Raw genomic sequence first — 11,411 nt, 5'->3', positions numbered from 1 at the left:
GCATTGCGCAGGACTGGCAGGCAGCTCCACCTGCGGCCCCGGTGCAGGATCCACTAGGTGAAGCCAGCTGGGCTCCTGAGTCTAGTGGGGACTTGGAGAAACTTTATGTCTAGCTAAGGGATTGTAGATGCACCAATCAGCACTCTGTGTCTAGCTAGAGGTTTGTAAATGCAAACATAAACTAACTCAAAGTTTGTGAATGCACCAATCAGAACTCTGTATCTGGCTAATCTGGTGGGGACTTGGAGAACCTTTATGTCTAGCTAAGGGATTGTGGATACACCAATCAGCACTCTGTGTCTAGCTCAAGGTTTGTAAACACACCAATCGGCACTCTGTATCTGGCTAATCTAGTGGGGACTTGGAGAATCTTTATGTCTAGCTAAGGGATTGTAAATATACCAATCAGCACTCTGTGTCTAGCTCAAGGTTTGTAAATACACCAATCAGCACCCTGTGTCTAGCTCGAGGTTTGTAAATGCACCAATCAGTGCTCTGTGTCTAGCTAATCTAGTGGGGACTTGGAGAACTTTTGTGTCTAGCTCAGGGATTGTAAATGCACCCATCAGCACCCTGTCAAAACGGACCAATCAGCTCTCTGTAAAACAGACCAATCAGCTTTCTGTAAAATGGAACAAGCAGCAGGATGTGGGTGGGGCCAGATAAAGGAATAAAAGCAGGCTGCCAAGCCAGCAGTGTCAACCCATTCGGGTCCCCTTCCACACTGTGGAAGCTTTCTTCTTTTGCCCTTTGCAATAAATCTTGCTGCTTCTCACTCTTTGGGTCCGCACTGCCTTTATGAGCTGTAACACTCACCGCAAAGGTCTGTAGCTTCTCTCCTGAGGCCAGTGAGACCATGAACCCACCGGGAGGAATGAACAATTCCGGACATGCCACCTTAAGAGCTGTAACACTCACTGCGAAGGTCTGCAGCTTCACTCCTGAAGCCAATGAGACCACAAACCCACCAGAAAGAAGAAACTCCAAACACATCCGAGCATCAGAAGGAACAAACTCTGGACACGCCGCCTTTAAGAACTGTAACGCTCACCGTGAGGGTCCGCGGCTTCATTCTTGAAGTCAGTGAGACCAAGAACCCACCAATTCCGAAGACACCAGCTACTCAAGAGGCTGAGGTGGGAGGATTGCTTGAGCTGGGGATGTCAAGGCTGCAGTGAGCTATGATCACACCATTGCACTCCAATCTGGGTGACAGAGTGAGACCATGTCTCAAAAAAAAAAAAAAAAAAAAAAAAGTCCAGGCGTGGTGGCTTATGCCTGTAATCCTAACACTTTGGGAGGCCAAGGCAGGTGGATCACTTGAGGTCAGGAGTTCAAGACCAGCCTGACCAACATGGTGAAACTCCGTCTCTACTAAAAATACAAAAATTAGCCAGGTGTGGTGGCAGGCGCCTGTAATGCCAGCTACTTGGAAGGCTGAGGAACGAGAATCGCATAAACCTGGGAGGCGGAGGCTGCAGTGAGCCGAGATCGCGCCACTGCACTCCGGCATGGATGATAGAGCAAGACTCAGTCTCAAAAACAAAAAATAAGTAAAATAAAATAAAATAAAAAGATGAGAGAAACTTTGAAAGTTTAGAATAATTAATGGTTCTCAGCCTTTTGGGATTAGACTCTGGTGAAAATATGGACGTTTTTCCTAGAAAAATGCAAATTGTGCACACACACTCATGTGCAATTTTGCTCATACCCCAGGTAGTTCATGGAGAGGTGCGGGAACCTCATTGGTTAAGAAGCCTTGGTTAGACAGCTGTGAAATGAACACATCCTACATGAGATGACTGACTTACTGGAGGTGGGGGTGGTGGAGTGAATCAGAGGCAGAGAGGGCCTCCAGGGGACATGGCCCAATCCTCTCATTTTACAGATGAGGTGACTGAGACCCAGAGGGGAAGGGGCTGGCCAAAGGTCGCTGAGTCACCAAGTGGGCAAGGCAGCACTAGGTCTCCTGACGGTGCCCGCTGCCTTCTGTCCCCATGTTATGACCAGTCCCCAACAGCATGGCACCCCTGTCCCTCCAGTGTGTGCTATGTCTGTGACCTTCTCTGAGATTGGCCCAGGTTGTATGGGAGGTGGCAAGGACTCAGGGGACAGCCAGGTTTGGGCAGCAAAACTGGCTCCACCCCTTTCCAGCTGTGTGGCCTTGGGTAAGTTACCCAGCCTCTCTGAGTCTGTTTAATCATATGTAAAAATAGGTATTATAATAACAGCATTAACCCCATAAGTTATTAGGAGGGTGAAATGATGATGCATAGAAAGCACCCAGCACACTCCCTGGTATTTAGCACGCACGAGTTAATAATGGTCATGGTTGTTGTTGGTCTGAGACTGGCCATGGGGTGTTCGTTGCATTTGTGGTTGGCCGAGCTGCTCAGCAGGTGGGTCCTAGGCAGTTCCAGGGAGCAGTTCTTCCAACCCCCATATGAAAATGCATTCCCCACTCCTGGCCCCCAACACCACTCTGGCTGGAGCATTTCCCTACTCTGGAAATGCACATCCTGGGGCAGTTTCTCCGCTGGACCCCAAACAATAACTGGTGGGTTCCTTGGCGGGTGGGGGAGGGGTGTTCTCATGGAGGAGAGGGGATGGGGGAAAACGCAGCTGCCAGTGATTCCCCGGCCCCCAACATCACTGCCCCATGGGGCTCTCTCTCCCCCACAGGACCAAACCACCCCTCACAGTGTCATTTTTTTGAGCCTCACAACAGTCGTCTGAGATAGACCAGGCAGAAGGCATCATTGACTAGCCCCATTTTATACATGCAGCAACTGAGGTTCAGGTGGGGGATGGCAAATGACCCACTAGGAAGTCCATCAGCTGGGATGTATAGTCTGGTCCATTTACATTGCTGCAGTCTGCTAGATGCCTTCTCAAAACATGTATCTAACACCTTCTACATACCAGGTACGGCAAACGCATGAGAATGGTCTCATTGACCTGCCTCTCTGACAAGGAAACTGCACTCAGGCAGGTTAAGTCATTTCTCTGAACCTTGGAGTGCAGAATATCGGGACTGTGGGATTTGAACCTTAAACTCTGGCTGTTTCCACGGCAGTCCAAGCCTTCTTCCACCCCATTCACCAAACCATCTCTCCAGGCTCTCACCTGGCACAGGGGCTGCCAGGAACAGACCAGGAACACAGGCTCAACTGGTGGGACATGGGGAGGTGGGGTGGGAAACCGGCAGGACTCACTGCCTCTCCTCTCCCTCTGTCCCTGGGCGCCTCCCTCCTCTGGATACACCACTGCATCTGTATGCTTGTGTGTGCACATGTGTGCCTGTGCAGCCTGTGTGTGTGTGTGTGTGTGGCATGGGTGAGGACACGCGCATCTCTGTGAGCATGGGGTGGGTGTAGTGGGTTAGAGCTTTCCTGGAGGTTGTGTTTATTTTTTATTTTGAGACAAAGTCTGGCTCTGTCATCCAGGCTGGAGTGCAGTGGTGCCATCTCGGCTCACTGCAACCTCCACCTCCCAGGTTCAAGTGATTCTCCTACCTCAGCCTCTCGAGTAGCTGGGATTACAGGTGCCCCCGCCACCATGCCCGGCTAACTTTTTGTATTTTTTTAATAGAGATGAGGTTTCACCATGTTGGCCAGGCTGGTCTTGAACTCCTGACCTCAAGCAATCCGCCTGCCTAGGCCTCCCAAAATGCAGGGATTACAGGCGTGAGCCACCATGCAGGCTGGTGGTGTTTATTTGTGAGCTGAGTGTGTGTCTGTGATTTTGCTCATTTGTCTTTGATTCAGTGCCTCCAAGTTTCTCAGAAGAGAGGTGTGTGTGTGTGTGTGTGTGTGTGTGCGTGCATGTGTGTGTGTGCATGTGTGTGTGGGTGCGCGCCCACAGAGGGCTCCATCGCTTTCAGCTGGATTCTATTTTTATTTTTTTTAATTTTTAATTTTTAATTTTTTTTGAGATGGAGTTTTGCTCTTGTTGCCCAGGCTGGAGTGCAATGGTGCGATCTCGGCTCACCGCAAGCTCCACCTCTCAGATTCATGCGATTCTCCTGCCTCAGCCTTCCCAAGTAGCTGGGATTATAGGCATGTGCCACCAAGCCTGGCTATTTTTGTATTTTTAGTAGAGATGGGGTTTCTCCGTGTGGGTCAGGCTGGTCTCCAACTCCCGACCTCAGGTGATCCGCCCACCTGGGCCTCCCAAAGTGCTGGGATTACAGGCGTGAGCCACCGCGCCTGGCTGGAGTCTATTTTTAGACTCTTCCTCTGCCCTGGTATCTATTTTTAGGGCCCCAGTTCCTTTAGACTGGAAGATTGAAGCTCCTGGACACCCCACCTTCCCTTGCCCCACCCTCACCCTGAACTGGGGGTTTCTACAGAGAGAGTCCCCCACTCTCTCTCTGGGTGACTGGCTTGTTGGGGGTCCCAGGCCTGGGGGATAGGGTGGGCTGTAGTGGGAGAAGAACTGATGGGATGGGGTGGAGGCAAGTCTACCTCTTGGGGCACCTAGGGTGCTGAGGGGCCTGGGTGGGCTCTCCTCCTGGGCAGGGGTGTCCAGTTTGAGTGCATAGCTCTGCTACTTCCTAGAAAGGCCAGCTCAGCTTTCCAAGCCTCAGTGTTTCCATCTGTGAGTGGGGATGATTGAATGCCACCCCCCCGCCCATTGTAGGGCAGTTGTGAGCATGAACGTAAAGCACTTAGCTCAGGACTCAATGCCCAGTGGGTGGAGGAGCAGCCCAGGGACCTGGCGGATGGGAATCTGGGGATAGGGAGGGCTCAGTGGGCATCAGCCAGGCCTGGGCAGCCCTGAGCTGGTGTCAGAGAGAACTGATAGGCTGGGTTGCTCCCAAACCCCCCTTTCCGTGCCCACCACAGCCTTTGCACAGCCTGTTCAGTATTACAGAGCGGGGCTAGGAGGGAACACCACTCCCTTGGCCCCCAGCCCTCGAGGGAAGACATGGGCGAAGAGGAGAGGAAATAGAGCGTGTGCATGTTCAGGTTCCTTTCCTGCTGGAAACCAAAACCATTTTTCATTGTCATTATCAGTAGCAATATATGCTAGATTTAAATTAAACAACTCAGTATCACAATCATGTTATATTTACGATAACACAAGGAAAGGTGTTTGTGGTAGCGATATCTACCACGAGCACGTGCCCTGCTGTGGCCCATGATATCCACAGTACAGAAATGATGTCATTGCTCTCCCCAGAGATCCAATGAGGTGGGTAGCATCACCCTCATTCACTCCAAATCACCCTCTCAGAAAACCGAGGCTCAGGGAGGTTAAACAACTCACCTAAGTAACGGCAAGAACTAGAACCTGGGTGTGTCTGATCCAGAGTCCTGCTCTAGACTCTGTTTTGGGTGCCTCCGCACTTTGTAGGAATCACAGCCCTCACTCCCCTCCCAGCTCTGGCACTGGTCCCACCAGGCCCAAAACACATCCTTTAGGCTAATCTACACCCCAGAGCCACTCACTCAAGGGACCGTGGTGCTGATCTGACGCAGAGGAGAGACCAAGTGGAACAGTGTCTGCGCTGCTCACAGCCCCAGCTCTGGGTTGCCAAGGACCTAACTTGCTATGCAGCTCGGAGAGTAATCCTGGGGCTCAGTCCTCAGTTTCCCTTCTTGCAAGGTGAGGAGAGGCCAACAGCCCTTGGAGCCTCAGCAGAGCCCCTGCCAGCTAGAGGCTGGCTCTCTCCATCCCTCCCGTCCCTCCCCTGCCCTGCCTCTCTGGGCCATCACTAACCTGGCGTCGTCCCCACAGGAAAGCAGCTGCCTGGGAACACCAGTTGCAGGCTTTGGGGTAGCCGCAGAAGGCCAAGGGTAGGGTTCTGAGAGGTGTGGCTGATGCTGAGATGCTGCAGATGTAGCCCTGCCCTGCTGGAGCCAGGGTATCTCAGGGTGCCAGTCCCACCCCCAGCTGGCCGGGATCTGAGCCACAGGCCAGGCCACTTCTCCCGCAGCTTGCCCAGCCCCACCCCTGTGAATAATGCCAGTTGCTTTATGGAGCTGGGCCTCACTCAGGCTTTGACTATTTGGAGGGTGGCATGAATGGAAGAGGTACAAGGAAGGGTTAAAGACTCAGCCACCTAGGCTCAGGGCATAGAGACAGTTAAATTGCTGGCAGAAGGCGCCTTCTTAAGCCATCCAGTGCCATCCCTGAGCCCTGGTACCAGCCCTCCAGGTCTCCAGACTCATCTGACTCTTGGGATTCCCCTCCAGGCCCTGGACCAGGGTGGGGCCCTTCCCACCACCCTACACAACCACAACAATAATTAACCCCAGTGAACCCCAACAAATAAAGATCCGAATCACAGAAGGGAGGGATCATCACTGCCCCAGGATGGGGAACCCCAGAGGGCCCAGGAAGGCTAAGCCCTGGCTCATCTGACACACCCTGCCCCACTGTTGTGGCCTGAGTAGGCCCAGATGCCCCCAGTCTGTTGGGGCTGGGGTGGAGGGCACCACCTCCCCATCCAGGTGAAGTTTGGGAAGGTATTGTTTGTCTCGGCTTTGGACTCGAGTCTTTTCCACCATTGAATATTTTTTCAAACCTTTTACCACCTCCTTCATTCTCTTGAGCCTGTTTTCTCATCATTCCATGCATCTGTCTATTCATATAGTCAGCAAACGCTTACTGAGCACCTACTATGTTCCAAGCACAGCGTGAGGTCCGGGAAGCCGTGTCGTCCAAAGAACAGGAAGGACCTGTCTCTCCACCAAGCCCTATGTGCTTCTCCTTCAGCCAACCTGTTTCAACTCACACTAGTCTATCCATTAGCTGGTAAACACTGAGCACCGGCTGGGTACAGGGCAGTGTGCTGGGCATGATGGGTGGGTGATATGCACTGGTAGGCAGGCCGGTTGGAAGTTATGGAGGAGATTCAGGGAAACATCAGGAAGGCGTGGGAAGGATCCTTGCCTTTTGGAAGCTCACAGTGCAGTTGGCTACAGGGGAGAGGTTGGCTATACAGTCCTTTATGCAACTTCTTCGTCCTGGGTACACAGAAAGGCCACAGTTCCAAGCCAGCCTGTGGCTGGGGCTATATGCCTGGATTCTGGCCAGTGGAGCGTGGATGGAAGTGATGTGTGCCACCTCCAGACCTGGACCTAAAACTACCTTCCCATGTTCTCCCTTCCAATCCCCTGGCAATCCTGGGGCAGCCCTGTGTTGGAGGAGGCATCACAGATGCAAGGAACCTGAAATTGGACTGTGATGGGAGCAAGAATAAACCTGTATTGTGTTTGGCCACTGAGATGTTGGGGTTGTTTGTTACAACAGCTAGTGTTTATCCTGACTGATACAGGCAGACGATGCAGACAGGGGAACAGCTTGAATCCTGTGGCTGGATCACAGTGTCCAGGAGTGCTCATTGCGAGGTAATGTGTGACGTCTAATGCTAGCTGGTAGTGGGTATGAGGTCAGAGGAGGGGAAGGATGAACGGTGAAAGGTGGAGTGCCTGGTACATAGTAGGTGCTCAATAACATAGGATGAATGAAATACACGAAAACATTAGAAGAGCTTTGCGGTGGCGGGTGAAGTTGCCAGAAACCCAGAGGAAGAGTGGGGCTTGGTTGGGGGATAGGAGTAGAGACAGTTAACCTGGGAAGAAAGGCTTGGAGGGGAGAAAAGGCAACACTTATCCGTGAGTCAGAGATCGGTGAGCTTCACTCCAGCCCAAGCAGGAGGGTATCCGGAGATGGAGCTGGTACTTGGAGGCCTTCAAATGCCAAGCTAAGCAATTTAGACCTTAGGCTGCAGACTACTTTACTTTTACAGCCTAAGATCTAAAAGACCTTATGTTTGTCAGAAGTTTGGAGTGGTCTCCAGCGTGGGTGTGCACATTAATCCACTGGGGCACAGGAAGAAAATGGTAAACTCCCATTCATATTTATCTCACTTCTTTTTTATTTATTTTTTTTGAGATGGAGTCTTGCTCTGTTGCCCAGGCTGGAGTGCAGTGGCGCAATCTCAGCTCACTGCAACCTCCGCCTCCCAGTTTCAAGCAATTCTCCTGCCTCAGCCTCCCGAGTAGCTGGGATTACAGGCGCATGCCACCACGCCCAGCTAATTTTTTTGTTGTTGTTGTATTTTTAGTAGAGACGGGGTTTCACCATGTTGGCCAGGCTGGTCTCGAATTCCTGACCTCGTGATCTGCCCACCTCGGCCTCCCAAAGTTCTGGGATTACAGGCATGAGCCCCCATGCCCGGCCTATCTCACTTCTTTAAATGTCTGTTTTTTAGTGTCTGTGAAGCTACCAAGGCTCAGAGAGGTTGAGTAACTCGTGCAAGGTCACACAGCTACTAAGTGTGCCTGACTCCAAAACCCCGCTGTGCTCTTCACTTATGCTGAGTCTTGTGCAAACAGATGAGGGCTTGGGTGGGGGCAGAGGCAAGTCTAGGGGAGGGTGGCTGGGAGAGTAGGCAGCCCCTGGCTGTTTCTGCCACTGTGGAAAGAGGTTAAGGAGCCTGCCCAGGCCTGCTTACTAGGCCTCTAGGGCCTGTTGGGAAACACGGAAGCAGGGAGCCCCGGTGAGTGCAGGCCTGCCATCCAAAGCGCTTCGTCCCAGGCTTGACAATTCAGCCTCACTTTGTGAGCAGGATCCCGAGGCAGGGATGGGGAGGACCAGTGGCTGAGAGGTCAAGGCAAGATGACAGAGAGGGATAGGGAGGAGTTGAGGGGTGTCACTCAGACTCTGGGGGCAGCTGGCAGGGGTAGGTTGGCCGCTCTACCACCCACCCACACTCATGCCGACCCCATGGCCAAGGGAACCCACAGGCCAGCCCCGCCCTGCCTTCCCCCGCTCCACTGTCCTGGGTTTAGGGGTGATTTTACCTTCTGATTTATACCTCTACAAAAACCAATTACCAACTGGGCAAGGTAGCTCACGCCTGTAATCTCAGCACTTTGGGAGGCCGAGGTGGGCAAATCATTTGAGGTCAGGAGTTTGAGGCCAGCCTGGCCATCATGGTGAAATCCCATCTCTAATAGAAATACAAAAAAGTTAGCTGGGTGTGGTGGCACATGCCTGTAATCCCAGCTGCTGAGGGAGGCTGAGGCAGGAGAATCACTTGAACCTGGGAGATGGAGGTTGCAGTGAGCCGAGATTGCACCACTGCACTCCAGCCTGGGTGACAGAATGAGCCTCCATCTCAAAATAAATAAAGAAAATAAAGAAAAGTGATTACCATTTGAAAATATAAAATTGTTGTAATTAAAATATAACACCTAGACAGGAAAATGCACATACTCTAACAGTATAGCATGATGAAGTGTTACAAACTGAACACTCAAGGGTAACTAGAACCCAGTTTAAGAAACAAAACATTTATCAGCCTCTGGAGAACCCCCTCATGCCCCCTTCTAGTCACTATCCCTAATCAGTTAAAGCCATCCTAACTTCTAATGCCATAGATTCATTTTGTCTGTTTTTGAACTTTATACACATGGGATCATCTGATCGGTGTTTTGTGTCTGGTTTCCATTTGTTCGGCATTGGATTTGGGCTGTGTGGTAATCCCCCCATCGCCGTTTATTGATTTATTCCACTGCTGGCAGAAAATTGCATTGTGCCCAGTTGTTATCTTTTGAGTAGTGCTGCTATGAATATTTGTGTATGTTTCTTTGCTTTTCTGTTGAGTATATATCTAGGATATGCATGTGTTCAACTTAAATAAAACTCTTTTCTTTTTTCTTTTCTTTTTTTTTTTTTTTGAAACGGAGTCTCACTCTGGCACCCAGGCTGGAGTACAGTGGTGCGATCTCAGCTCACTGCAACCTCCACCTCCCGGGTTCAAGCGATTCTCCTGCCTCAGCCTCCAGAGTAGCCGGGATTACAGGCACATGCCACCATACCCAGCTAATTTTTGTATTGTTAGTAGAGATGGGGTTTCCCCATGTTGGCCAGGTTGGTCTTGAACTCCTGACCTCAGGTGATCTGCTTGCCTCGGCCTCCCAAAGTGCTGGGATTACGGGCGTGAGCCACCATGCCCAGCCTTCCTTGTCTATTTAATTTTGGCCATTCTAGTGGGTCTGCAGGGTTATCTTATTGGTGTTCAAATTAGCATTTCCCTAAAAACTAATGATGGGGAGCATCTTTTCACATGCTTCTTGGCCATTTGCATATCTTCTTTGGTAAACTGTCTATTCAATTCTTCCTTATTTTGTTACCCCCATCATCATTTCCACAGTCCCTCCCTCTGCTATCTGCACCCTTAGCACCTTTATGTTTGGGGGACTGGAACGTCTCTAAACTGGTCCCCCTCACTCCGGTCCCCCTCACTCCAGTGGCTACTCCATTGTGCCAGACAAACCTTCCTGAACACAGCATTGCACAAGTCACTCCACTGCCCTGAAACTTCCTATGGCTCCCATGCCTGTGAGGACAAACCTCAGCTTCTCAGTCTGCCTTTGTGGCACTCCAGCCCGTGGTCCCAGCCTTTCTTTCCTGCCTTCCCTTGCCTTTCCCACCAATCTCTCAAACTCTACTCCTGGCCCATGCCTTGAGGACCCAGAATACTTGGTTCTCTTCCTTCTCTCTGAGGTTTAAGTAGTCTGTTTGCTGTTATTGTCATTGTTGTTTTAAGACAAGGTCTTGCTCTGTCGTGCAGGCTGGAATGCAATCATCGCTCACTGCAGCCTCCAACTCCTGGGCTCAAGCGATCCTTGAACCTCAGCCTTCCAGAGTGTTGGGATTATAGTTGTGAGCCACCATGCTAAGTCTGTTCTAAATCAAGTCTGCCTCTCTCTTGGGAGGCTACCAGCCAGCCCTACCCCACAGGGATCCCTGTTCCTCTGAGCTCCTCTGAAACATGTTCTTTCCTCTGGCGCTCAGCATTTACCTCTGTCCAGTACCACTTGGATGTCCAGGAGGGAGCCAGGGCCTGGAGAGGAGCTTCTTGGTGCCAGGAAGTTCCTGGCATATATGATAAAAATGATAACATCTCCTTATAAGCTTAAAATATGGGATATTAATATCACATATGCTTTTACAAATTATACATATCCCCTCCTTGAAAATTGTAGTATGCTAGAGAGGGAGGGATTTGACGGTAGAGTGGGAAAGGGAGGGAGGAGGGCGACTCTTCCTTATCTGTCTTAAGAATCTCTTAAGATGGTGGCTCATGCCTATAATCTCAGCACTTTGGGAAGCCGAGGCGGGTGGATCACGAGGTCAGGATATTGAGACCATCCTGGCTGACATAGTGAAACCCTGTCTCTACTAAAAATACAAAAATTAGCTGGGTGTGGTGGTGCGTGCCTGTAATCCCAGCTACTCGGGAGGCTGAGGCAGGAGAATCACTTGAACCAGGGAGTTGGAGGTTGCAGTGAGTGGAGATCGCGCCACTGCACTCCAGCCTAGTGATAGAGCGAGGCTCTGTCTCAAAAAAAAAAAAAAAAGAAAATCTCTCATGGAAACCATTGCATTTG

The sequence above is a fragment of the Homo sapiens genome, chromosome 17, assembly GCF_000001405.40.
Source record: "Homo sapiens chromosome 17, GRCh38.p14 Primary Assembly".
NCBI classification, from domain to species: Eukaryota; Metazoa; Chordata; class Mammalia; order Primates; family Hominidae; genus Homo; species Homo sapiens.
The sequence above is the reverse complement of the archived record's forward strand: the minus strand, read 5'-3'. Positions refer to the sequence as shown.